General features: G+C 53.2%; 2 protein-coding genes across 14 annotated transcripts in view, besides 4 other annotated features; one reads left to right on the top strand and one right to left on the bottom strand.

Annotated features, from left to right (window-relative positions):
* Positions 3689 to 4203: an enhancer, noted in NCBI's record as "H3K27ac-H3K4me1 hESC enhancer chr16:28612139-28612653 (GRCh37/hg19 assembly coordinates)". NCBI's record gives its function as "activates a minimal SCP1, AML or CMV promoter by ChIP-STARR-seq in naive H9 embryonic stem cells {active_cell/tissue: H9 hESC(naive)}" and the evidence as "EXISTENCE:reporter gene assay evidence [ECO:0000049][PMID:30033119]".
* Positions 5037 to 5570: an enhancer, noted in NCBI's record as "H3K4me1 hESC enhancer chr16:28610772-28611305 (GRCh37/hg19 assembly coordinates)". NCBI's record gives its function as "activates a minimal SCP1, AML or CMV promoter by ChIP-STARR-seq in naive and primed H9 embryonic stem cells {active_cell/tissue: H9 hESC(naive and primed)}" and the evidence as "EXISTENCE:reporter gene assay evidence [ECO:0000049][PMID:30033119]".
* Positions 5571 to 6105: an enhancer, noted in NCBI's record as "H3K4me1 hESC enhancer chr16:28610237-28610771 (GRCh37/hg19 assembly coordinates)". NCBI's record gives its function as "activates a minimal SCP1, AML or CMV promoter by ChIP-STARR-seq in primed H9 embryonic stem cells {active_cell/tissue: H9 hESC(primed)}" and the evidence as "EXISTENCE:reporter gene assay evidence [ECO:0000049][PMID:30033119]".
* Positions 7739 to 8033: an enhancer, noted in NCBI's record as "tiled region #4245; HepG2 Activating non-DNase unmatched - State 1:Tss, and K562 Activating DNase matched - State 5:Enh". NCBI's record gives its function as "activates a minimal TATA promoter and a strong SV40 promoter by Sharpr-MPRA in HepG2 and K562 cells {active_cell/tissue: HepG2 | K562}" and the evidence as "EXISTENCE:reporter gene assay evidence [ECO:0000049][PMID:27701403]".
* SULT1A2 (sulfotransferase family 1A member 2) lies at positions 7971 to 13078 on the top strand. 11 transcript variants are annotated; one of them, NM_001400264.1, is made up of 9 exons: positions 7971 to 8024; positions 8728 to 8887; positions 9087 to 9238; positions 9346 to 9471; positions 9557 to 9654; positions 11453 to 11579; positions 11675 to 11769; positions 12578 to 12758; positions 12881 to 13078. In NM_001400264.1, exons 3-9 carry the CDS (start codon positions 9091 to 9093, stop codon positions 12991 to 12993), a joined length of 888 nt encoding a protein of 295 aa, NP_001387193.1. In that variant the 5' UTR covers positions 7971 to 8024; positions 8728 to 8887; positions 9087 to 9090; the 3' UTR covers positions 12994 to 13078. The 11 variants fall into 11 exon arrangements, 10 of the variants coding, with proteins under 10 accessions (NP_001387193.1, NP_001387188.1, NP_001387187.1 ...); NM_001400259.1 differs by having other exon boundaries at positions 9056 to 9238; NM_001400258.1 differs by having other exon boundaries at positions 8724 to 8887.
* The window catches only part of SGF29 (SAGA complex associated factor 29), a 37871-nt gene continuing 24610 nt past the window's right edge, over positions 13231 to 26491 (bottom strand). Inside the window, exons 2-10 of one of the 3 annotated variants that reach the window (XM_017022894.2) lie at positions 23877 to 23966; positions 20033 to 20108; positions 19301 to 19373; positions 15857 to 15921; positions 14796 to 14925; positions 14579 to 14725; positions 14355 to 14390; positions 14086 to 14248; positions 13231 to 13980 (exon numbers count right to left, since the gene is read on the bottom strand). In XM_017022894.2, coding sequence (XP_016878383.1) covers positions 13969 to 13980; positions 14086 to 14248; positions 14355 to 14390; positions 14579 to 14725; positions 14796 to 14925; positions 15857 to 15921; positions 19301 to 19373; positions 20033 to 20108; positions 23877 to 23951 — 777 coding nt within the window. In that variant the 5' untranslated portion in view covers positions 23952 to 23966 and the 3' untranslated portion in view covers positions 13231 to 13968. Of the gene's footprint in view, positions 13981 to 14085; positions 14249 to 14349; positions 14391 to 14578; positions 14726 to 14795; positions 14926 to 15856; positions 15922 to 19300; positions 19374 to 20032; positions 20109 to 23876; positions 23967 to 26491 lie in introns of those variants that run through there. The other 2 variants (NM_138414.3, XR_001751821.2) reach the window with 2 other exon arrangements.

Here is a 26491-nt window from a genome sequence, read left to right as displayed (position 1 = left end):
TAAATTAAATTAAGTTATTATTTGACCTGGGCTCGGTGGCTTATGCCTGTAATCTCAGCACTTCAGCCTGGCAGATCACTTGAGGTCAGGAGTTCAAGACCAGCCTGGCCAGCATGGCAAAACCCCATCTCTACTAAAAATACAAAAATTAGCTGGGCATGATGATGGGCGCCTGTAATCCCAGCTACTCCAGAGGCTGAGGTGGGAGAATCGATTGAATCCATGAGGTGGAGGTTTCATTGAACCGGGATCACACCACTGCACTCCAGTCTGGGCGACAGAGCAAGACTCAGTCTTAAAACAACAACAACAACAACAACAACAACACAACTATGATTTGTGTTCAATGCAGAGTCTCTATTCCAAGCCAAGAGAAACCCTGAGCTGAAAGAGTGATCGCCCACTGGGGCCAAATACGGCCACCTCTCCGCTCCAGCTCCTCAACTTGACCTGTTTGGAGAGGGGAGAGGGTCTGGAGAAGTAAAACCCAGGAGACGAGTGGAGGGGGAATGTGTTTAATCCCAGCACATCCTTTGCTGTCCTGCCCTGTGTCGTTGGTGGATGGCGAGTCCGCCAGGCAGCGTCACTTTTTCTTGGGCTCCTTACAAGCCACCACCTACCTCTGGGCCACGCCGAGGGGAGGGGAATGCTTGAAGACACTCAAGCATAGGAGTGTCTTCAAACAGGACCAAGTAGTCATCCTGGGGCTGTGGGGCAGGCAGACAGGAGGGGCTGCTCAGAGATCCCCAGGCCATGACAGGCACCCCCTTCCCCCAGCCTAGACCACAGGAGGCTCTGGGCCGTGGACTTTCAGCCACTCCTGCCATTGTTCACTCTGGGGTCAAGAAGTCTTGGCCCAGTCCCTGCTGCTATGGAGCTCTTTTCTCAGTGGCTGGAGGCCCAGAGCAGTGAAAAAGGTGGAGAGAGGAAGAGGTGCTGACTCCTTCCCCAGTGGGGCCATAGCTAGAGGGTCTGCTGCCTTTCAGGGACTCTGTGTTCAGAGGACCGAGGGCAGCCCAGATGGTGGCAGGCAGGGATCCTGGCCTCAGGTGGCTTGTGTCCCATGTCACCAGGAGCATGAGGGGGCAGGAGCCGTGGGTTCAGGGCAGGAGCTTCCTGTCTCAGAGCTGGTTCTCCTGGGGCTGCAGAAGGGAAGCCGCTGACTTGGGGCTTGCCAAGGCTGCCAGGGCTGGCAAGGGGACGGTAGCCTTTGGGGCTGGAGTGGAAGAGGGAGGGCTGCTGGCAGGTCCCATTAGCTCGGGAGATGAGGACAAGGGGGACAGAGCAGGAAGAGGACCCCTAGCTTCTCTGATCAGCCTGTTCCTGGTGTCACCAATGACCTCTCCCCTGGAGGCTGCTTTACCCGCTGTAGGGGCGCATGGATCAGGGCACGGTAGAAGCAGGTGGTCTGGGGTTACAGGGCCAACATGAGCTGCTCCTTCTGGAACAAGGCCTTGGGGTCCATCTGGGGGTTGGCCTTCCACTGATGCCATGACTGCCAGCTCATGGTGTGTCTCCTGGCAGGTTGTGTCAATCTGTCTGGGGACACTCTGTGATACCTGGGTTCTCGTCCTCTTGGGTTAAAATAAATTAAGTAGGCGGTGCGCAGTGGCTCACACCTGTAATCCCAGCACTTTGGGAAGCTGAGAGGGGTGGATTACCTGATGTCAAGAGTTCAAGACCAGCCTGGCCAACATGACGAAACCCTGTCTCTACTAAAAATATAAAATTAGCCAGGCGTGGTGGTGAGCCCTATCATCCCAGCTACACAGAAGGCTGAGGCAGGAGAATCGCTTGAACCCAAGACTCAGAGGTTGCAGTGAGTCGAGATTGTGCCACTGCACTCCAGCCTGGGCCACAGAGTGAGACTCCATCTAAGATAATAATAATAATAATAATAATAATAATAATAATAATAATAATAATAAATAAAATGATTTAAACAAGAGACACACAGCAAAAGAAGTGGAGCATAGAATAACTTATTGCAAAAGAAAACAGTATATTGAAAGTTAATTGCAGAATAGACAATACACCTTGAGCGAGTTCAGAAGGGACTGCTTGTCAGGTTGGGACGGTGTTGATTACTGCAGGAAAAACTCCCTTTATGGGAGTCTCACACAACTCTTCATAATGGGTGGGAAGAGGCATCACTAGTAAGCATGTTCTGGGTGGTCCTCTGGGTGCACATGCGCATTTGCTATACATGCTTGCTCCTAGGACTCATGTCTCATTAGCATCTTAAATCTCCACCCAGGGGTATGGTTTTTACTATTAAAATGAGCAAAGTGTCAGTTTGCTGACCCTTTGCACATGTTCTCAAAAGGGAAAGTCCCTACTGGAGATCGCTTTGCTTGAATGAGCTCAGTGACCAGGTGAATGCCGAGGCTTCCTGTGTTGGCCGTGCTGTCACCAAGGTCACAGCATCCTGAGAACATGGTTTTCTCCTTGACTAACAAGGCCTCGGGGTCTGTCTCGGGGTTGGCCTTCCACCGGGTCAGCGGGATGATCCGGCGCAAGCTCACGGTGTGTCTCCTGGTGGTAGAGGGGCTTGTGTCAACCTGTGGCCGGGTGGGGATGCTCCTTCCCAGCTGGTAGGCTGCCCCCAGGCTCCATGCCCTGCCCTGGCCTGGACACTCACGCTTTGCCTTCTTCATCAATGTCATCTACCTCATACCTGTGGACAAAAGGAGGAAAATGCAGGATGCAGCCAGGGGCACAGTCCCTGTAGGGGAGTGTGGAGGACAGGGGCAGGGCGAGGACCCGGTGCTCCCTGCACAGCCGGCCCCGCCCACAGCACGCTCTGTGGAGTTTTTCTCCTGCTGTGCAGATGAGAAGCAGAGTGGCAGCCCAGGCAGGTGCAGTGACCAGAGAGCAGCCCTGGGGCTGTTGGAGGAGCCCCTGGGAGCCTCCATCTCCCGAGTGAGCCCAGCAGGACTGTGACCCGTTCGGCCAGGTGTCCTACAGGGGCTGCTGGGCTCAGCTACAGATGGGCGAGACCGCAGCATAGTGGGCGCCCAGCGGGAAGAACCAGGGAGGGACAAAGTGAGTTTGCAGGTGCTGGAGAGGCTCTCTTCTTGATGTCGGTGCTGAACCAGAAGTGTGTTTAAGGAGAATTTCCTAAAATTCAAAGAGTTCCACGGGAGTCGCGGCTAGGCCGGGGCGCTTCTTCAGCATCTACCTGCTCTAAGGCCTGAACCCCCGTCATCAGGGCCACGTTTATATGGGGTTCACTGTCAGCCCTGCTTGTCAGGTCCAGCAGCACAATGGGGACCACACAAAAGGCAGGGCCCAGGCCTGGCGCGGTGGCTCAAGCCTGTAAACCCAACACATTGGGAGGCCAAAGCGGTTGGATCACTTGAGGTCAGGAGTTCGAGACCAGCCTGACCAACATGGTGAAACCCCGTCTGTAATAGAAATACAAAAATTAGTCGGGCATGGTGGCACGTGCCTGTAATTACAGCTACTCGAAAGGCTGAGGCGGGAGAATTGCTTGAAAGATGGGGCAGGGGGCAGCGGCAGAGGTTGCAGTGAGCCAAATCGGGCCATTGCACTCCTGGTGAGACCGGAAGGGTCTCTGTGCCAGGAGGAAGGCTTCCTGGAGGAGGCGGACCCCGCTGGGCACAAGCCTGATGAGAGGGAGGGGCATGCCTGTGACATGGGTGGGGAGTCCAGGGTGGGGACGGGACTGTCACAGAGGAGGAGCATGACGGGGAGACAGTGCCCTGGGAATCTTGGCGGTGGAACTCCGGGGAGGAGCTGGCTGGGGCGGAGGTGATGATCCAGGATGCGGGCCAGCGTAGGGGTCTTGGTGGGCATGCTGGGGTCGGATGGAGCGCAGGAGGGAGAGGAGGGGGGACAGGTGGGTACCTGGGCTGGAGGCGCGGCCTGAGGTGGGCAGGTTCAGGGGGCGTGACTTCATTTAGGGGCAGGGCCTGGGGCTAGGCTGAAGCCGGCAGTGAGGACCCCGCTCTCGGGTGGAATTGGAGGGGACCCGCGGTTGGGCGCGGCAGGGCTCACAGGGACACCCCCGTTCTCCTCCCCAGGGAGAAAGTGCTCGTCGTGCACGGCTTCCCGCCCGCCGTGGCAACCCTTCGGGTAAGGAAGGAGACCAGGCGGCGGCAGGCGGGCAAGGGCTTGGGGTCCGCCCCCCTGCCTGGAGCCGCCCTAACTCCTCCGTATCCTGCCGCTGTTGGAGTGGGCCTGGAACCCCCTCCATAGGCGCGCCTCCTACTCCCGCTGCACCCCGACCTCCGCCGGGACCTCTATGCGCCGCGCCGCACGGGCGATGGCCTTCGGGCCTCCCCGGCCCCAGGGCACCGCGCAGGTCCCTTTGCTGGCACCAAGCCCGAGCCTGAGCCGGACCCGGGGCCCAAGAGGCCTGTGCGCCCTGCGAGCCCTTGAGCTCCAGGGGAGGTCCGCCCCAGGCAGGGCGGCTCATCCCCCAGACCACTTCGGATCCAGCTGTTTGTTGAGGAGCCAGGAAACGCCCTGACACTTTTGCGGCCCTGTCCCCGTCTCTAAGATGGGGATGATAGTATTTCTGGCCATTCCTGAGCACAGCAGGACCTGCCTTTTCCCTTTGACTGGAAGGTTCTTCTCTACACCTATCTTGATAACCTGCCACCTCCACAGGGAGGTCTTCTCTATCTCCCGATTTAAAATTGCAGCTCTGAGAAGCCGGGCATGGTGGCATATGCCTGTAGTCCCAGCTACGGGGGGAGGCTGAGGTGGGAGGATCGCTTGGTCCCAGGAGTTGGAGGCTGCAGTGAGCTCTGATCGCTCCACTGCACTATAGCCTGGGCAAAAGAGCAAGAAACTGTCTCTAAAAATATAAAATAAAATTGCACCTCTTGTGTACTTCCCCGTCTGCTTCTTTACCTGAATACTTACTATCTCACCGGCTAGGTGCTTTATGACTCTCGTTAGTCTCTCCCACCCCAACCTTTGCACTACATTGCCCGAGGGCAGCTCTTGTCACTGCTGTAGAACAAAGTCCTGCACAGAGACGATAGCCAAGAAATAGTTAATAAAATAATGGAAAACGGGTGCCTTCTACTGAGCACCCGCTAATAGTGAGTGAGTAGAGGACTTGCCCTGGGGACATTCAGTGACCTGCTGGGTGTTGCTGAGCTGTGAGGAAGTTCAGGTCTGGCTGCAGTGGTGAGGCTGTGACTCAATCAATCACTGCTGATGCTCCCAGGACCTGCACCAGCTTAGTCCCAGGGGCAAGGATTTTAAACCCCCACCTCCATTTCCTCATCTGTAAGATGCAAATAACAGTCACCTCTGCCTCACGGGATGGAGCTGTGTAATGCCCGGAACAGTGCCTGCTGCATAGAGGGGTTGCTGCCAGCTGCCTCTCCCTCCTTGTCTCTTACCTGCCTGCTGCCTGGGACAGGATGAAGCGGGGCCCTTGTGTTGCCCCAACCCTGGCTGTTGGCTAAGAGCCCACGTGATCTGCCTGTGAGAGGAGTTCCTTCCGGAAGAACCAGGGCAGCTTCTGCCCCTAGAGGGCCAATGCCCTAGCTGAGTGCAGTCCCCCGGCCCCAGCCTGGTCCAGCTTTGGGAAGAGGGTGCCCAGTTGTGCAATCCAGGCCGGGGCAGCCGTGTCCTGATCTTGGTATTCAGGGCTGAGCCTGGAGGGGGCTTGTGATGCCTGACTCTGTCTCTCTCTCTGGCCCCATGCCTTGGTAGCTGTGAGGCGTCACTGCTTTGGGTGACCTGATCTGGCTGTGATGGATGAGCACGGGGGAAATAGTGGAAGACTCGGAATTAGAAGACGTGAGTGGGCTTTGGCCCCAGCCTCCCTACCCCACTCCCTGTCCTGGGCTGCCTGTGACCAACCTTGTTTCTGCAGGCACACTGGATAGCCCTGCTGGAGCTCAGTGTCCCTAATCCCCTCCAGATACTGGTGGCCTAGGGGAGGTCATCAAAGACCGGTGGGACATCGACCTCAGCCCGTTTCCACGCTTTTTTTTGTTTTGTTTTGTTTTTTTGAGACCGAGTTTCACTCTTGTTGCCCAGGCTGGAGTGCAATGGCGTGATCTTGGCTCACCGCAACCTCCGCCTCCCGGGTTCAAGCGATTCTCCTGCCTCAGCCTCCCAAGTAGCTGGGATTACAGGCGTGTGCCACCAGGCTTGACTAATTTTCTATTTTTAGTAGAGACAAGGTTTCTCCATGTTGGTCAGGCTGGTCTCAAACTCCCGACTTCAGGTGGTCTGCCTGCCTCGGCCTCCCAAAGTGCTGGGATTACAGGAGTGAGCCACCGTGCCAGGCCTTCTCCAGGCTCTTGGCACCTTAGCCAGAAACAATTTAAGGACAAGTGCAAAAGTCATGAACGTAGGCAGATTTCCTGCAGAGTAAAGGGACTCACTGAAGAAGAGGAACGTGGGGGTCCTCAAGAGAGTGTCTCATGCCCTACAAGGTGTGGGGCTGACCTTTATGGGCTTCTTCAACTAAAGAGGGGTATATTCATGAAGATTCCAGGAAAAGGTAAAGATTTCTCAAGACCGTGGTGCCACAATTTACACCCAAATACAGGTGTTCCTGGAGCCGTCTTGGCACTGGTGGGTGTACGGTTTCATATGTTACTGATTGTACAGTGAGATCCTAGGTGAAACCTACATCAAATACAGCGCCATGTTGCTTCTGGTTGGTCGCAGCCAGCTTGGTCCTCATCCTATTTTTCAGGGACTTATTGGCCCTTGGCACATGCAGCTATTTCAAGTTTCCTTCTTCTGGTCATGTGAAACTGCTGCCTGGGATTTTCTGTTGTCTTGCTAGCACTCTATTAATCTCACATTCTCGCCTCTTTTCTGTGCCACCCCCTGCTGGTCCGGCTGGTTTTCACTAGAGTGCAATACAAAGTCTCAGTCAAGAGGGCCTCCTGAAGGTTGCTGAGGGCAGGGGTGGAGCTAGTAGCCGGAGGACCTGCCAGTCATGGGGATTCCTCAGGGGCACAGAGGAGGGAGGAGGGGCCTGTGGCCCTAGCAGGGGAGCAGCCTCTCCTCTGCCTGGAAATCCCATGCCTCAGTTTTCCCCGCTTGCCTCTGAGCTCACGCAACCCTGGGAAGGCTTGGGAGACTCACCTTTACTCAGATGGTTGTTTACCTGTCTCGTGCCCAGCTTGACCCTGGACTTTAAATAGTGAGGACAAAGAACGAGGAGGGTGGGGGGATGCACTCCTTCCACGGGGCCCTGTGGCTTCCAAGCCTCAACCTCCTCTGGCCTCTGTCTGTGGAGCCTCCTTCAAACCCATGGAAAGAAAAGTACCTGCCAGGGGCTGTGGTTCTTCTAGGATCTTCTATCGATGTTCTGTGAGGTCCCCAGGGAGCCATGAAGCTGGGGCTGGCTCCCAGGGCAATGGGACTGCAGTGTCCTTGTTCTTTCTTGTTCTATGGATCCATGCTCTGCTCCACCCCTGCCCCTTCACTCTGCCCACACGCATCACTCCAGACTGGCCTTGTGGTCAGAGCCTGGAGTGCATGGGCTGCTGGAGGCCTGTGGGTTGCACTGGGCCAGGACCCCTGGCACCTTCAAGACTGGCCTGGAGCCAGCAGGTAGGTGACCTTTCCAGGGCCTGCCTATCCCATCTTTCTCCTCCAATCCCTCCCCTCTCTTGCCTGGGTCAATTAGAGAAAGCTTGTCTTTTGGAGTTCAGGGGCAGGTCAGGAGCCCAGTGACAGCTCAAAAAAAAAAACCCACAAAAACAAACCCACCATTGGGCCCTTTCCCCTTTCATTCTTCTGTTTTCTACACACCAAACCCAGTCGTGGCTTTGGAGATCACTTTAAGCTTGTCTCCAGCTGGCAAACTAAGGAGGGTAATAGAGAAGCTCCCCCACCCCCAACCCTACCCCTTCCTTCCGGAAGCAAATCTAAGTCCAGCCCCGGCTCCAGATCCCTCCCACACTGACCTAAGAAACCCTCAGCACAGACAACACCCCTGCATTCCCCACACAACACCCACACTCAGCCACTGCGGGCGAGGAGGGCACAAGGCCAGGTTCCCAAGAGCTCAGGTGAGTGACACACCGGAATGGCCCAGGACGCCCTCACCCTGCTCAGCTTGTGGCTCCAACATTCCAGAAGCCGAGGCCTCTGCTATCCCTGCCCTCTCCCCATGGATATCCCATTTCAGACAACCCCGGCCGGCCTGAATCCCCCTCCCTTCCTTTTTTTTTTTTCCGGGGAGGCCAGGTCTTGCTGTCACCGAGGCTGGAGTGCTGTGGGATCCTGGCCACTGCAGCCTTGAATTCCTGGGCTCAAGTGATTCTCCTGCCTCAGTAGCTAGGACTACAGACCCTCACCATCCTGCCTGGATAGTTTTAAAAAATATTTTTAAAAGATTTTTAGAGATGGGGTCTTCCAATGCTGCCCAGATTGGTCTCCAAATTCTGGCCTCAGCCTCCCTAGGGTCTGGGATTACAGGTGGGAGCCACCCTGCCCAGGATCCTCCTTTTGCTGAGTCATCACAGTTTTGCTCATTCCCACATCAGGCTCTGGCCCCCAATACCAGCTCAGTTGCTCAATGGGCTGTTTGTCCTGGAGCCCAGATGGACTGTGGCCGGGCAAGTGGATCACAGGCCTGGCCAGCCTAGGAGTTGCCACATGTGAGGGGCCGAGGGGCTCAAGGAGGGGAACATCGGGGAGAGGAGCCTACTGGGTGGAGGCTGGGGGTCCCAGCAGGAAATGGTGAGACAAAGGGCGCTGGCTGGCAGGAAGACAGCACAGGAAGGTCCTAGAGGTTCCTCAGTGCAGCTGGACTCTCCTGGAGACCTTCACACACCCTGACATCTGGGCCCCGCGCCACGAGGGTGCTTTCACTGGTCTGCACCATGGCCCAGGCCCTGGGATTTTGAACAGCTCCGCAGGTGAATGAAAGGTGAGGCCAGGCTGGGGAACCACCACATTAGAGCCCGACCTGGTTTTCAGCCCCAGCCCCGCCACTGACTGGCCTTGTGAGTGCGGGCAAGTCACTCAGCCTCCCTAGGCCTCAGTGACTTCCCTGAAAGCAAGAATTCCACTTTCTTGCTGTTGTGATGGTGGTAAGGGAACGGGCCTGGCTCTGGCCCCTGACGCAGGAACATGGAGCTGATCCAGGACATCTCTCGCCCGCCACTGGAGTACGTGAAGGGGGTCCCGCTCATCAAGTACTTTGCAGAGGCACTGGGGCCCCTGCAGAGCTTCCAGGCCCGGCCTGATGACCTGCTCATCAGCACCTACCCCAAGTCCGGTAGGTGAGGAGGGCCACCCACCCTCTCCCAGGTGGCAGTCCCCACCTTGGCCAGCGAGGTCATGCTCACCTCAGCCTGCTCACCTCCCATCTCCCTCCCTCTCCAGGCACCACCTGGGTGAGCCAGATTCTGGACATGATCTACCAGGGCGGTGACCTGGAAAAGTGTCACCGAGCTCCCATCTTCATGCGGGTGCCCTTCCTTGAGTTCAAAGTCCCAGGGATTCCCTCAGGTGTGTGTGTCCTGGGTGCAAGGGGAGTGGAGGAAGACAGGGCTGGGGCTTCAGCTCACCAGACCTTCCCTGACCCACTGCTCAGGGATGGAGACTCTGAAAAACACACCAGCCCCACGACTCCTGAAGACACACCTGCCCCTGGCTCTGCTCCCCCAGACTCTGTTGGATCAGAAGGTCAAGGTGAGACTGGGCACAGTGGTTCACACCCGCAATCTCAGTACTTTGGGAGGCTGAGGTGGGAAGATCCCTTGAAGCCAGAAGTTCCAGATAAGTCTCTTCCAAAAAAAAAACTTAGCTGTGCATAGTGGTGTGTGCCTGTAATACCAGCTACTCAGGAGGCTGAGGTGGGAGGATCATCTGAGCCTAGGAGTTTAAGGCTACAGTGAGCTATGATCACACCAGTGCACTCCAGGCTGGGTGACAGAGAAACACTGTCTCAAAAAACGATGAATAGAAAGAGTGTCCCACCAGTGCGGTGGCTCACACCTGTAATTCCAGCACTTGAAGAGGCTGAGGCAGGTGGATCACCTGAGACTAGGAGTTTGAGATCAGCCTGGCCAACATGGCAAAACCCCATCTCTACTAAAAATACAAAAAAATTAGCCGGGCATGGTGGCAGGCATCTGTAATCCCAGCTACTTGGGAGGCTGAAGCAGGAGAATTGCTTGAAGCTGGGAGGCAGAGGTTGTAGTCAGCCGAGACCTCACCATTGCACTGCAGCCTGGGAAACAAGAGCAAAACTCTGTCTCAAAAAAAAAAAAAAAAAAAAAAAAAAAGCGGCAGGTGGCAGGGGGCTGGGCCTGTTGTGGCTCACGCCTGTAATACCAGCACTTTCGGAGGTCGAGGTGGGCAGATCACCCAAGGTTAGGAGTTTGAGATCAGCCTGGCCAACATGGAGAAACCCCGTCTCTACTAAAAATACAAAAATTAGCCAGGCGTTGGGGCAGGCGCCAGTAATCCCAGCTACTCGGGAGGCTGAGGCAGGAGAATAGCTTGCACCTGGGAGGCGGTGGTTGCAGTGAGCCGAGATTGTGCCACTGCACTCCAGCCTGGGAGACACAACGAGACATTGTTTCAAACAAAACAAATAAATATTTTAAAAGGTTTGCCACCTGGGTGGCTCACCGCTGTAATGCCAGCATTTTGGGAGGCCAAGATGGGTGGACCGCTTGAGCTCAGGAGTTCCAGACCAGCCCAGGAAACATGGGGAGACTCCATCTCTATAAAAGATGCAAATAATCAGCAGGGCATGGTGGCATAGCGCTATAGTCCCAGCTACTCAAAAGTCTAAGGTTGGAGGATTGCTTGAGCCTGGGAGGTCAACGTTGCAGTGAGCTATTCTCACTCCAGTGCACTCCAACCTGGGCAACAGGAAAAAAGAAAGCCCAAGGTCTTTTTTCTCTTTTCTCTTTTTTTTGAGACCTAGAGTCCCCCCCCCCAAAAAAAAAAAAAAACCACAACAAAAAGAAAAAAGCAAAGGTCCAGGTGTGGGGCATGTGAATCCAGGGAAGGAGGCCCCGGCTCAGCCCAGCTTTGGTCCTGTTCTTCTGGGAGAGTCGCCTCACTTCCTCCAGACTTGTCTCATCTTCCACGGGGGGGACTGTCTGCCTTTTGCTCTGATGACCAAAAACATGAGACTCTTCCGGGTAGACCTAAGAAAGGTAGAGGGTGGGTCCTCACAGGCCCACAAAATTTGGTGGTGGTGGGAACATGCCTGGTGGAGCATGCCTTGCTCCAGATCGGGGTGTGACGCATTGATGCAGATTATATTACTATAGAATATGATGGTCTCAGGGACCAGGCAGGACTTTGGCTTTTGAGCAGGGTTCAGATCCTGACTTGGCCCTACCTGTGCCGTGAGATCTCAAACAAGTCAGCCTCTAAGCCTCAGCTTCCTCCTTTGCCAAACCAAGAGATGAGCTGGCCTGGGGCAGGCTGTGTGGTGATGGTGCTGGGGTTGAGTCTTCTGCCCCTGCAGGTGGTCTATGTTGCCCGCAACGCAAAGGATGTGGCGGTTTCCTACTACCACTTCTACCACATGGCCAAAGTGTACCCTCACCCTGGGACCTGGGAAAGCTTCCTGGAGAAGTTCATGGCTGGAGAAGGTGGGCTTGATGGGAGGAAGGAAGGTGTGGAGCTAAGGGGTGGTGGCTACAACGCACAGCAACCCTGTGTCGGCACTCCCTGCCCGCTTCTCCAGTGTCCTATGGGTCCTGGTACCAGCACGTGCAAGAGTGGTGGGAGCTGAGCCGCACCCACCCTGTTCTCTACCTCTTCTATGAAGACATGAAGGAGGTGAGACCGCCTTTGATGCTTCCCTCCACGTGACACCTGGGGGCAGGCACTTCACAGGGACCTGCCAAGGCCACCCAGCCACCCTCCCTGGGCGGCCCCTCCAGCAGGCCCGGATTCCCCATCTTGACTCCCTGGCCCAGGCCCCACTGCAGCCCCATGTGGCAGCAGGCTGGGCACAGCTCTCATCTCCTGTGCCTGAGTCAGCTGCACGGGTGGCCATGGATCAGCTACTTTTTTTTTTGAGACAAAGTCTTGCTCTGTTGTCCAGGATGGCATGCAGTGGTGTGATCTCAGCTCAGTGTAACCCCCCCTCCCAGGTTCAAGTGATTCTCCTGCCTCAGCCTCCTGAGTAGCTGAGATTACAGATGCACACTACCATGCCTGGCTAATTTTTGTGTTGTGCCATGTTGGCCAGGTTGGTCTCCATCTCCTGAGCTCAGGTGATCCGCCTGCCTCAGCCTCCCAAAGTCTTGGGAATTACACGCCTGAACCACGGCCCCTTGCCACAGATCAGCTATCTATTCCAATTGCTTCTCCCTGCCAATGGTTATGCCACCCAGGGCCACAGGCACGGAAGAAGACCATCCCAGTCCTTACCCATAGGAGCCAAGCCCAGCTCATGATGGGATCACAGGGCAGACAGCAATTCATTTTGCCCCAGGGACTGGGGTCCCAGGGGTCGAGGAGCTGGCTCTATGGGTTTTGAAGTGGAAGTGGCCAGTTCCCCTCTGAGGTTAGAGAAGTGGACCCCTTTTATTTTCCTGAATCAGCAATCCAAGCCTCCACTGAGGAGCCCTCTGCTGCTCAGAACCCCAAAAGGGAGATTCAAAAGATCCTGGAGTTTGTGGGGCGCTCCCTGCCAGAGGAGACTGTGGACCTCATGGTTGAGCACACGTCGTTCAAGGAGATGAAGAAGAACCCTATGACCAACTACACCACCGTCCGCCGGGAGTTCATGGACCACAGCATCTCCCCCTTCATGAGGAAAGGTAGGTGCCGGCCAGCACGGGGGTTTGGAGCAGGTGGGAGCAGCAGCTGGAGCCTCCCCATAGGCACTCGGGGCCTCCCCTGGGATGAGACTCCAGCTTTGCTCCCTGCCTTCCTCCCCCAGGCATGGCTGGGGACTGGAAGACCACCTTCACCGTGGCGCAGAATGAGCGCTTCGATGCGGACTATGCGAAGAAGATGGCAGGCTGCAGCCTCAGCTTCCGCTCTGAGCTGTGAGAGGGGTTCCTGGAGTCACTGCAGAGGGAGTGTGCGAATCAAGCCTGACCAAGAGGCTCCAGAATAAAGTATGATTTGTGTTCAATGCAGAGTCTCTATTCCAAGCCAAGAGAAACCCTGAGCTGAAAGAGTGATCGCCCACTGGGGCCAAATACGGCCACCTCCCCGCTCCAGCTCCTCAACTTGCCCTGTTTGGAGAGGGGAGAGGGTCTGGAGAAGTAAAACCCAGGAGACGAGTAGAGGGGGAATGTGTTTAATCCCAGCACGTCCTCTGCTGTCCTGCCCTGTGTCGTTGGGGGATGGCGAGTCTGCCAGGCGGCATCACTTTTTCTTGGGTTCCTTACAAGCCACCACGTATCTCTGAGCCACATTGAGGGGAGGGGAATAGCCATCTGCATAGGAGGTGTCTTCAAACAGGACCGAGTAGTCATCCTGGGGCTGTGGGGCAGGCAGACAGGAGGGGCTGCTCAGAGACCCCCAGGCCAGGACAGGCACCCCCTTCCCCCAGCCTAGACCACAGGAGGCTCTGGGCCGTGGACTCTCAGCCACTCCTAACATCCTTCACTCTGGGGTCAAGAAGTCTTGGCCCAGTCCCTGCTGCTACAGAGCTCTTTTCTCAGTGGCTGGAGACCCAAGGCAGGGAATAGGCAGGGAGGAGTAGGGGTGCTGACTCCCTTCCTAGTGGGGTCATAGCTGGAGGGTCTGCTGCCTTTCAAGGACTCTTTGTTGAGAGGACTGAGGGCAACCCAGAGGGTGGCAGGCAGGGATCCTGGCCTCAGGTGGCTTGTGTCCCATGTCACCAAGAGCACAAGGCGGTAGGAGCCCAGGGCTCAGGGCAGGAGCTTCCCATCTCGGAGCTGGTTCTCCTGGGGCTGGAAGCCACTGACTCGGGGCTTGCCAAGGCTGCCAGGGCTGGCAAAGGGATGGTGGCCTTTGGGGCTGGAGTGGAAGAGGGAGGGCAGCTGGTGGGTCCTGTCAGCTTGGAGCCTGTGAGATGAGGACAAAGGGAAGGAGTGGGGAGAGGACCCCTCGTCTGTCTGATCAGCCTGTTCCTGACATCACCCATGGCCTCTCCCCTGGAGGCTGCTTTACCCGCTGTGGGGGCGCATGGATCAGGGCGCGGTAGAAGCAGGTAGTCTGGGGATACAGGGCCAGCACGAGCTGCTCCTTCTGGAACAAGGCCTCAGGGTCCGTCTCCGGGTTGGCCTTCCACTGGGGCAGCGGGATGACACGGCGCCGGCTCAGGGTGTGTCTCCTGGGGGAAGAGGGGCTTATATCAACCTGTGGCCGGGTGGGGATGCTCCTTCTCAGCTGTTAGGCTGCCCCCAGGCTCCATGCCCTGCCCTGGCCTGGACACTCACTCTTTGCCTTCTTCATCGATGTCATCTACCTCATACCTGCAGACAAAAGGAGGAAAAGGCTGGATGCAGCCAGGGGCGCAGTACCTGTTGGGGAGTGAGGATGGGGGAGGACCTGGTGCTCCCTGCACAACCAGCCTCTGGGGAGCACCCTCTGCAGAGCTTTTCTCCCGTAGCCCAGGCAAGTTCGGTGACCAGAGAGCAGCCCCAGGGTTGGTGTCACTCACTTGTTGGTGGCATGGCTGTAACTGACCACCTCGGCCAGGATCCACTGCTCGTCCCCATCCACGGCCTTCACCCGGGCAGCCACCTTGTCTCCAGGTCTGGCCACGTAGTCTCCTGAGGCAGGGATGGCCCCACAGAGGGGTGGGGGCCTGTGAGTGGAACAAAGGGTCAGTCCCAGCCCCTGGGCACCAGCCCCTCCCTCGCAGCTGCTGCCCTCACTTGTCACCAGGCTTCCCGATCCACAGGGGCAGGGTCATGGCCGACTGCTGCAGCAGGGTCATCAGCACCCCTCTGCGCATGGTCTTCCGGGGTGGCTCCGAGTCATTGTAGAGACCGGCAATCTTGGCCGCTGTGGGAAGGAAGGGAGGCCTGAGGCCCCAGGGATAGGTGCCGGCCTTGACCCCCGAGCATGCTGCACTGAGCTGTTGAAGGAGCACCTGGGAGCCCCCAGTTCCCGAGTGAGCCCGAGGGCCCAGCAGGACTGTGACCCCATCGGCCATGTGTCAGCACCTATAGGGGCTGCTGGGTTTAACTACAGTTGGGTGAGATGGCAGCACAGCGGGGATCCAGGGGGAGGAACCAGAAGAAAGAAAGCGGGTTCCAAGGTGCTGTTCAGGCTGTGTTTGCTGATCTGAATGCTGGTTACAGAAGTGTGTTCAGTTAGTGACTATTTCATTGAACTCTGCACTTATGTGTACTTTTCTTCTATTAATATACATTGTAATTCAACAGAAAGTTAAAAAAACCAAAAAAAAAATTAAATGTGCACCTTCAACCTCCTCAGGCACAGCTGGACACCCCACTTGACTTCACACAGAACCAGCATGGCTGTGTGGGGACACTGACATGCCAAGATTCTGCCCACCATGGGATTGTTGGGAGGGCAGACAGGTAGGAGAGCCTAATGCAGGCTGAGGGGGTCTGGAAGGCTGGCTTTACGACACACAGCGTGTGGCTCTGCAGAAACCAGCCAGGGCAACAGATGGGCATGGGCCATGGCAGAGGAGGGGGCGACTGGCCCAGGCCCCAGAAGGGGCAGGAGATGAGGGGCCAGGGCGGGATGATCTCTGGCTGCTGAGGGAGAACTGGGAAACCCCTGCCTCTGGGCACTGGGAATGACCTCCTGTCCCTTCTCAGTGGTAGAGCCAGTCTGCCAGAGCCTCCATGGGAGGATGCCAGCAGGTGGTGGCCACAGGCCCCCACAGGAGGGTGACTGCTGCCCGCAGGGCCTCTCCTCTTGTCCTAGCAAAGGACCTCCCAGCATGTTCTCTCCCACTCACCAATCCGCCTCTCTTCCAACAGAGACTTGATTTCCGCGATCTTGTCCAGAGCTTTCCGAAGGATGCTGAGGGCGGGGAGAAGGGAGAAAGAGGGTTTGGTTAACGTACATAGCATAGACTTCTCTTCCATTTTTTCTGTTTTGGGTCAAGCTACATTGCCCAGGCTGGTCCCGGACTCCAGAGGTTCTCACAGTAGCCTCCTGCGCAGGTGGAATGACAGGTGTGTGCAGGTTCCTGTTCTGGTCAAGGTGGGCTGGGTTATTCAGACCAACCTCATGGTGAAACTAGAAATCTGCCCGGGTGTGGTGGTTCACGCCTGTAATCCCAGCACTTTGGGAGGCCGAGGAGTGTGGATCACCTGAGGTCAGGAGTTCAAGACCAGCCTGACCAATATGGTGAAACCCCGTCTGTATTAAAAATACAAAACTTAGCCAGGTGTGGTGGCGAGCGTCTTTAACTGTAATCCCACCTACTTGGGAGGCTGAGGCAAGAGAATCGCTTGAACCTGGGAGGCAGAGGTTGCAGTGAACCGAGATCGCGTCATTGCACTCCAACCTGGGCAAAAAGAACGAAACTCCATTTCAAAAAAAAAAAGAAAACTGGAAATCTTCAGTATGTGTCTTTTAGTCTTAAGAACATAAAAAACAAGGTGGTAGAAAGCAGCATGCCAAAAACTAAGAGAACACAGGATCCCAGAGAGGAAAGGACACAGGCAAACTGCCTTCGGCAAACCCTGCAGAAAGGCTGCAGGAACCTCCTGAAATGAGGAGAGGGGGCCTCAGGTCTGCCCGAGGGTCACACAAAAGGAGGGGAGACTCTGGGGAGAGGTGCTGGCCCAGAGCAGAACTGGGTGGAAGGACCTCATCCTTTCTGAAAGGCTGAACCCAAAGACAGACCCCTGCATGGCCTTGAAGCCCCAGGAAGCCTCTGTGAAGTTAGTTTATGGGGATTCCAGGGTGGCAGGAACCCAAAGAACCCAGCAGAAGCAAACACAGAACTTGGCTGGAGTGAGGCTCCTTCATCCTAAAGCTCAGGGAATCTTCCCAAAGAGTATTTCCACAGCAGGGATGGGTGTGGTGGCTCACGCCTGTAATCTCAGCACTTTAGGAGGCTGAGGCAGGAGGATCACTTGAGGTCAGGAGATCGACACCAGCCTGGCCAACATAGAGAAACTCCTTCTCTACTAAAAATACAAAAATTAGCCCGGCGTGGTGGCGGGCGTCTATAATCCCAGCTACTTGGGAGGCTGAGGCAAGAGAATCGCTTGAACCTTGGGGGCAGAGCTTGCAGTGAGCCGAGATTGTGTCACTGCACTCCAGCCTGGGTGACAGAGCGAAACTCCATTTCAAAAAAAATACGTATTTCCACAGTAGTCAGCAGCACAAACTCCACTTTGGGTCATTTTATTTTCCTCTGATACCATGGCAAACCCCAGTCCATTCCTCTGGCAAGCCTTTCTGAAATGACCCGGAGTTCTAAAGACCTTTGTGCGGCAGGAAGGAGATGCACAGGAACTGGGTGTGATGCAGCATCTCGGGAGGTGTCCGGGGGTGCCCCAGGGCATGTGACTCATGGACCTCACCAGGCCAGGGCCAGAAGATGGAGGTAGGCCAAGGGCAGCCAAACCAACGCAGGGACAAGGAACAGCTTGCCTGCTGCGTACAATGCAGGGATGGCCCAGCCAGTGCCACCTCAGGCTGTGAGCACCGGGACCCCAGAAAGCAGAGAAGGAGAAAGAGCCACGGGGCCAAAGGGAACTCTGAGAGTCTCATCACTGTTGCCAGGCCTGTGTGGAGGATACAGTTTTATACAGCCTGTCCTAAACTGTCTTCTGTGACATGTTACTGAAGTGGCTTTCAAACCTTGGTGGGCATCAGAATCTCCTGGGGGAAGTTTAAAAAATCTCAATTGTTTCACGCACAAATCATAAATGGATGCTAAAACTAGTGTGTTTGATATGAACAGGATAGTTACAGTCTCAAAAGTATCTCCCAAGACACTTATTAATTATGCAATGGAGGCCAGGTGCAGAGGCTCACACCTGTAATCCCAGCACTTTGGGAGGCCAAGGTGGGTGGATCGCTTGAGCTGAGGAGTTCAAGACCAGCCTGGGCAACATGGCAAAACCCCTCTCTACAAAAAATACAAAAATTAGGTGGAGTGGTGGCAGGTGCCTATTGTCCCAGCTACTCAGGAGGCTGAGGCAGGAGGATCACTTGAGGCCAGGAGTTTGAGGCTGAAGTGAGCCATGATTACGCCACTCCACTCCAGCCTGGATGACAGACTGAGACCCTGTCTTAATCGATCAATCACACAATGGAAAATAGCAGTAATCTGATACAAGAGAAACGTGGAAAATACCACTTTAACCAATGGCACAGACAGCATCCTGTGCCGTCTAATATGACCCACCAGAGACACCTCTTCTGTGCCAAAAGTGTAAAGCATGAATCCTACTAGTGAGGAAATGTCAGATAGTTAATACCAATGTTGGAGCTCCACCCCAAATAAACAGAGCCTCTGGGCACAGTCAGACTTCAGAACCAGTGTGTTCTCAAAGTAGAGGAATGTAATGTTCAAGTTCCTGAATCTCCTGCAGAGATTCAAGGAAACAGTGTTTCCAGATCATTTTTTTATTTTAGTTTTTTTTTTTTTTTTGAGGCAGAGCCTTGCTCTGTTGCCCAGGCTGGAGTGCAGTGGCACGATCTTAGCTCACTGCAACCTCCGCCTCCTGCCTCAGCCTCCCAAGTAGCGTGCGCCACCACACCTGGCTAATTTTTGTATTTTTAGTAGATATAGGGTTTCGCTATGCTAGCCAGGCTGGTCTCAAACCCCCAACCTCAGGTGATCCACCCACCTTGCGATTGCAGGCATGAGCCACTGTGCCTGCCCGGCCTTAAGATTATTTTAAAAGCAGGAGTTTTCTGGAAGTGAAACTTCTCCATCTCAGAACCATAAAACCTTCAGGTCATCTGAGTATGACTTCCCAGCCAAGCTTACAGACACATGCCACCACGCTCAGCTAATTAAAAACTTTTTGTAGAGACAAAGTCTCACTTTGTTGCCCAGGCTGGTCTCAAACACCTGCGTTCAAGTGATCCTCTAACCTCGGCCTCCCAATCACCTCTGTAATGTTGTGATTACAGATCTGAGCTACCCAGCCCCTGATATCCCTATTTTAATGACTCTGCCAAGGTCATAGAGCCAGTAAACGGCAGTGTTGACTCACGCCTTGCCACCTTCTGTAAAGGCATTAGCAGCAGAGGTAACTGGAAGAGTGGGCCTGGCAGTGGGCCAGGGAATGCGGGACCCAAGCGAGAGGCTGGGAGTAGCAATCAGCTTATCCATGGGAGGAAGGCAGGCTGGGGACTTGGTCCAAATGGACCTGCAGCCCAGCCCCCAGGAAAGGAGGGAGCGGCGATGAAGTGGGTGCACGGTACTCACTTGCACTCAGCCTCTGCATCGGCCTTGGCGGTTGTGTAGAGGCCACGCAGCTTTGTCCGGTAATAGGGAGAAACTGCAGAGGAAACACAGGGATAAGGAGGCAGGGCCAGGGCAGGCACAGTAGCATGGCACTGCTTCCATGCACCGGAATCACACTCGTGGAGGCACAGAGAGGCCGTAGCTGCAGTCAGAGCTCTGCTGGCTCAGGAGTGCTCCTGAGGCGGATGCCCCCAGGCTCCATGAGTCCGCATTTCCATATGGTACAAATGCCATCCCTACATCTGCGAGAGTACTGTCTTACCTTTTCTCCATCATGACACTCACAGAAAATATTTGTCAGGACCCAGGAAAACACAATTCTCAGAGTTACCCAGAGTAAGAAAGCCCCAGCCCCAGGATCTCACCACCTGAGGGCCTCAGGGCAGATGCAGGGGCCGCCTGGGAAGGAAGCTCCTTTCTAGAAAACACCAGCTAACTGGGGCGCTTGTGTGCTCTAAGGGCAAGCTTCCCTAGATACAGCCTCATTTCACTGCCTTTCGAATCCTCAGAGTAGAGGGATTTTAGTTCTTCAGGTCACCCAGATTAACGGAAAGCTGTCCCTCCTGCTGCATTTTGGAATATGCAGATACATGCAAATCTATTTTGAATACAATGACCACCTCGGTCACAGTCTTGGCCATACTCACCCTAGCCCCATCTCATCCCCTTTCTCTCCTGAGCCCAGCTACTCACTCTTGTTCTCTGTCTGCATCCGCTCATGGGTCTTCTGGATGTTCACTAAGTTGTGTTCGCTCCGCGAACGCTCTTCCTGTAAGGAAAAGAGCAGCAGGACATGACGGTGGCCCTTTGTGCTGCTGTGGTACCCTGCCAGCCAGGCCAGAGTCCCCATCCCCAAAATACGGCCCTCATTTTCTTTTTTTTTTTTTTTTTTTGAGATGGAGTCTCACTCTGTCGCCCAGGCTGGAGTGTAGTGGCACGATCTCGGCTCACTGCAAGCTCCGCCTCCCGGGTTCACGCCTTTCTCCTGCCTCAGCCTCCCGAGTAGCTGGGACTACAGGCGCCCGCCACCACGCCTGGTTAATTTTTTGTAGTTTTAGAAGAGACGGAGTTTCACCGTCTTAGCCAGGATGGTCTCGATCTCCTGACCTCGTGATCCGCCTGCCTCGGCCTCCCAAAGTGCTGGGATTACAGGCGTAAGCCAATGCGCCCGGCCTAATTTTTTGTATTTTTAGTAGAGACAGGGTTTCGCCATCTTGGCCAGGCTGGTCTTGAACTCCTGACCTCGTGATCCACCTGCCTCGGTTTCCCAAAGTGCTGGAATTACAGGCAAGGGCGCCCGGCTATGGCCCTCATTTTCTAAATCCAAATTCAGGAGTTCAAGATGATTTTCTCCTTTGACTAATGCAAAAGCATTATAAAAGGCCTTAAAGGGCCTGGTGCAGTGGCTTAAGCCTGTAATCCCAGCACTTTGGAAGGCCAAAGTGGGCAGATCACTTGAGATCAGGAGTTCAAGACCAGCCTGGCCAACATGATGAAACCCCACCTCTACTAAAAATACAAAAATTAGCCGGGCATTGTAGCATGTGCGTATAGTCCTAGCTACTCGGGAGGCTGAGGTTGCAGTGAGCTGAGATCATGTCACTGCACTCCAGCCTGGGTGACAGAGTGAGACTGTTAAAAAAAAAAAAAAAAGAAGGCATTAAAGTTAAATCATAAGTGATATCTTTAATGATAGTCCTTTATCAAAGAGACAAATCAATCTATACAGTCAACGCAATCCCCATCAAAATTCTAATTGACTTCTTTGCAGAAATTGACAAGTTCATCCTAAAATTCATATGGAAATTCACGGGACCCAGATTATCCCCAATCTTGGAAAAAGAAAAAAAAAGTTGGAGAACTCATACTTCCCAATTTCAAAATTTATTACGAAGCTACGGTAATCACGATGGTGTGGTACTGGCATATAGATCAACAGAACAGAATTCAGAGTCCAGAAATAGACACATACAGGTATGATCAATTGATGTGGAGAAGAAGGGGTGGGGAAGAATGCTGGTGCAATTCCTCCCATATCAGTCATCCTGGGAGCAGAGCTGCAACTGCAGATGCTGGAAACTGAGACAGATCCTAAGAAAGAAATTATGACTATGCTTTTTAGCCTTTATGTGAGAATTTTTAAGTGCCTGATGGGTGGGTTGCGCCTTTACCTCAACCTGCAAAATGAGGTTAACAGTGAACACAGCTAGCTAGCTGCCTAGTGCTCAAGACAGCCAATAGTCCATACCTGTGTAACCCCACCCTATATAAATGGGAATGGATTGGGGTTGGGGGGGGATACTTGCTAGACTAGTACTGCTGCCGCTGCAATCTGGACCAGGTACAGTGGCCAAAGCTAACATCCCTTACAAAGGTGGAAAAGTTTGGGTGAAAACCAATCACAAATGGAGAGGAGAAACAGTAGCCGAGTTAACAGAACAAATTAAATGGGTTATGCAATGAGGGAAATCCAATATTGTACTCATACCTCAAGAGAGGCTGAGAGAGAGAGAATGCCATCTCTTAGGTCAGTTACACTGGGTGCCTGAAAGGGCGAAGCCCTGTGTCTGTCAGGACCACGCCTGCTTTTGGAAGCTGACGGGTGAGATGGGAGTCTGGGAACTCGGCAGCAGCTGTCTGAGGGACACCCTGGTTGTATGGGATGATGATAAACTGTTCTAACTGTGGATGACTGAATGGAATGCGTAATCTGCCTGTATCTTTTTTTTCCTTTATTTATTTTTTTGAGACGGAGTTTCGCTCTTGTCGCCCAGGCTGGAGTGCAGTGGTGCGATCTTGGCTCACTGCAACCTCCACTTCCCAGGTTCAAGCGATTCTCCTGCCTCAGCCTCCCTAGTAGCTGGGATTACAAGCATGTACCACCACGCCCGGCTAATTTTTAGTAGAGATGGAGTTTCGCCATTTGGCCAGACTGGTCTCAAACTCCTGACCTCAGGTGATCCACCCGCCTCAGCCTCCCAACATGCTGGGATTACAGGCATGAGTTACCACGCCCAGCCCTTTTTTCCTTTATTTTACAATGTATTTTATTGATAAACTCTTCTTAGAGCAGTTTTGGTTTACAGAAAAGCTGAGCTGATGGCACAGAGTTCCTGTATGTATACCTGCTCTGCCCTGCGCAGTCTCCCCTATTGTTAACATCTTGCATTAGAGTGGTGCGTTTGTAACAACTGATGAGCCAATACTGTTAGATAATTAACTACATCCATCCCCATGATGGTTTACTCTGTGTGTTCTGCCGTTCTATGGGTTTGGACAACGCATCATGTTGCGTGCCCCCCATCATGGTACCCTGCAGAAGAGTTCCACCCCCTAAAATCCTCTGTGCTCCACCTATCCATCCCTTTCATCCTATCTCTCCCAAGGCCCTGGCTACCGCTCATCCTTTCACTCTCTAGTTTTGCTTTTCGTTTACAGTTGGAATACACAGCACGTAACCTTTCAGACTGGCATCTTTCACTTAGCAATGAGTGCCGGCATCTTCTGACTCTTACTCTCCAGGTTACGTCTAAAAGGAATACCATTTGGGAAGGAATTTCTGGGATCTACTCCTTCCTGGCTGTGCGGTGCACAACTGCCAGCAAACTGATCCTTGTGTAGCTATAAACCCTGAGTATCGTGGGCAAAATGTGGCAGAGCATGCCCGATAGCCTGCAGTGAGCTACAGGCACCAATACGCATCTCCCTTGTATCTGTGAAAGAAAAGATATCAAATAGGGGAAAAATGGCTTTTTTTTTTTTTGAGATGGAGTCTTGCTTTGTCACCCAGGCTGGAGTGCAGTGGCGCCATCTCGGCTCACTGCAACCTCTGCCTCCCGAGTTCAAGTGATTCTCCTGCCTCAGCCTCCCCAGTAGCTGGGATTATAGGCATCCGCCACCAAGCCTAGCTAATTTTTGTATTTTTAGTAGAGACAGCCAACATGGCAAAACCCCGTCTCTACTAAAAATACAAAAACAATTAGCCGGACATGGTGGTGTGTGCCTGTAATCCCAGCTACTAGGGAGACTGAGGCAGAAGAATCGCTTGAACCCAGGAGGCAGAGGTTGCAGTGAGCTGAGATCGCGCCACCGCACTCCAGCCTAGGTGACACAGTGAGACTCCGTCTCCAAAAAAAAAAGAGTGTTTTTGTTTGCCTGGATTAATAGGGTGGAAGGAAAAGATATGGGGCATTTTTGTTGGGTGTTAAAAATGTTCTGAAATTGATCGTGCTAATGGTTGCACAATTTTGTGAGCTGCGAAAAACCACTGGATTATACACTTTAAATGGGTGCGTTGTATGGCATGTGAATTCTATCTCAGGATAGCTGTCAAACAAAATGAATCATGAAATCCTGTACATGGTAGAAAATCCAACAGGAATGGTAGCCATACACCAAATTCCCCTCCTTTCACTTTTATTACGTCATTTTGGTTCCTGCGAGTCCAATCTCTCTGAACACAAATGCCACCCCCACTTCACGGCTCAGCATCAAAGCCCATGTTCCCATCTGGGAATGGAGGGTGGTGACTTTTTACCTGGGTTTGTTTGATCAGCTGATGGAGCTCTGTGAGAAGTTCTGCAATGCGGGAATCGGCAGACACGAGGGCCATTGTCTACAGGGGCACCTGGTGGGGGAGCGAGGACAGAAGAGAACTCTGTTAGTGGCTGCTGTGGGCTGAACTGTGCCCCCTCAAAAGATACATTAGGCCTGGAGGCTCATGCTGTAATCCCAGCACTTTGGGAGGCCAAGGCGGGAGGATTGCTTGAGGCCAGGAGTTCAAGACCAGCCTGGGCAACACGGAGACCCCGTCTTTACAAAAAAATTAAAAACTTAGCCCGGCATAGTGGCACACATCTGTAGTCCCAGCTATTCGAGAAGCTAAGGTGAGTGGATCGCTAGGCCCTAGGGGGTTGAGGCTGCATGAGCTACGATCGTGCCATTGCACTCCAGCCTACATGACAGTGTGACACCCTATCCCTTTAAAAGATAGTAATAATAAAAAGATACATTGTAGTCCTAACCATGGTACCTGTAATGTCACCTTGTTTGGAATTAGGGTCTTTGGAGAAGTATTTAAGATGTCACTAAGATGAAGTCATAGTGGAATAGGGTGTGCCCTTAATCCAGACACACAGCCAGGTGCAGACAGAAGCAGCGACTGGACTTGGACAGCTGCAAGCCAGGGGATGCCAAGGACTGCCGGCAGCCACCCATCCAGCCGGGAGAGATGCGCGGAGTAACGGCCCCGTCTAAGCCTCCAAGAAGCAACAATCCCTTGTCTTTGGAACCAAGCTGACATCTTGATTTTGGAATTATGGCCCCTAGAACTGTGATGGAATAAATTTCTCTTGTCTTAAGCCACCCAGCTTGCAGTAACTTGTTATGGCAGCCATAAGAAATGAATACAGTGGCAAGCTATCCTTGGATTCTCCTCCACCCTATTGATATGTTTGAATGTCATATGTTCGACGAAGTCAAGGAGTCAAGGAGTGTATAATTTTTGTATATAAATACAAAAATTAATATGAAGTGCCTTAAAAAGATAGCATGCCCTTAGCCCCTGCTCTGCTGCCAATATCCTGACAAATGATTCAAACATTTCTGGTATCCATATTTTAATCTGTAAAATGGGGATCATCTCTGCTATATTTTGGGAGATTCAAATAAGATTTTATATGAAGACACTTTCCAAGTCATAAAACGCTGTTACTTTCTTACTATAGTGGGAAGATAATTTTTTTTTTTTTGAGACGGGAGTCTTGCCCTGTCACCTAGGCTGGAGTGCAGTGGTGTGATCTTGGCTCACTGCAATCTCTGCCTCCCAGGTTCAAGCAATTCTCCTGCCTCAGCCTCCTGAGTAGCTGAGATTACAGGTGTGTGCCACCATGTCCAGCTAATTTTTGTATTTTTAGTAGAGATGGGGTTTCACCATGTTGGCCAGGCTGGTCTCAAACTCCTGACCTCAGGTGATCTGCTTGCTTCAGTCTCCCACAGTGCTGGGATTACAGGCGTGAGCCACCACGCCCAGCCAGCATGGGGAGAGAAACTACTGTAAAATATCTCAATCAAGATGAATGTACTCTGATGAAAATAAAATGCTTCTGTACAATAAAAGATAATTAGGGCCGGGCGTGGTGGCTCATGCCTGTAATCCCAGCACTTTGGGAGGCCGAGGAGGGCAGATCATGAGGTCAAGAGATCAAGACCATCCTGGCCAACATGGTGAAACCTTGTCTCTACTAAAAATACAAAAATTAGCTGGGCATGGTGGTGGGCACCTGTAGTCCCAGCTACTCAGGAAGCTGAGGCAGGAGAATTGCTTGAACCCGGGAGATGGAGGTTGCAGTGCGCCGAGATCACGCCACTGCACTCCAGCCTGGCGACAGAGTGAGACTCCGTCTCAAAAAAAAAAAAAAAAAAAGATAATTAGAACAAGAGTAAAAAGACAACCAAAAGTAATCAAGAGTGTAAGTTACAAGTAGGTGAAAATAGACATATGCCTCAAGATAAAGGTATATTTGATAAAATAAGGGGATATTTTTTACAGTGCTAAAATTTTGCACAATAGCCTGCATCTTACAAAGTTTGTTCAAGCTGGGGGCAGTGACTAACACCTGTAATCCCAGCACTTTGGGAGGCGAAGGTAGGAGGATGGTTTGAGTCCAGGAGCTCGAGATCAGCCTGGACAATACAGCAAGACCCTGTCTCTATTTTTATTTTTTATTTATTTATTTTTTGAGATAGAGTCTTGCTCTGTCGCCCAGGCTAGAGTGCAGCGGTGCGATCTCTGCTCACTGCAACCTCGGCATCCTGGGTTCAAGCGATTCACCTGCCTCAGCCTCCAGAGTAGCTGGGATTACAGGCACCCGCCACCTTGCCTGGCTAATTTTTTGTATTTTTAGTAGAGACGGGGTTTCACCATCTTGGCCAGGCTGGTCTCAAACTCCTGACCTCGTGATCCACCCACCTCGCCCTCTTTTTTTTTTTTTTTTTTAAAGTTGTTCAACTAACACATCCTCCTACTCACAGAGATCAGATTCACGATGAATGGAGTAAACTCTTCCCCCCACTTAATCAACTGCGAACCTCTCGCCATGTATTTATTCATATCTTCTTACATGCTCTGCTGCTGCTATTTAAAAGTATAAT

This window comes from Homo sapiens, chromosome 16 (assembly GCF_000001405.40).
Source record: "Homo sapiens chromosome 16, GRCh38.p14 Primary Assembly".
NCBI lineage: Eukaryota > Metazoa > Chordata > Mammalia > Primates > Hominidae > Homo > Homo sapiens.
The sequence above is the reverse complement of the archived record's forward strand: the minus strand, read 5'-3'. Positions and strand labels throughout refer to the sequence as shown.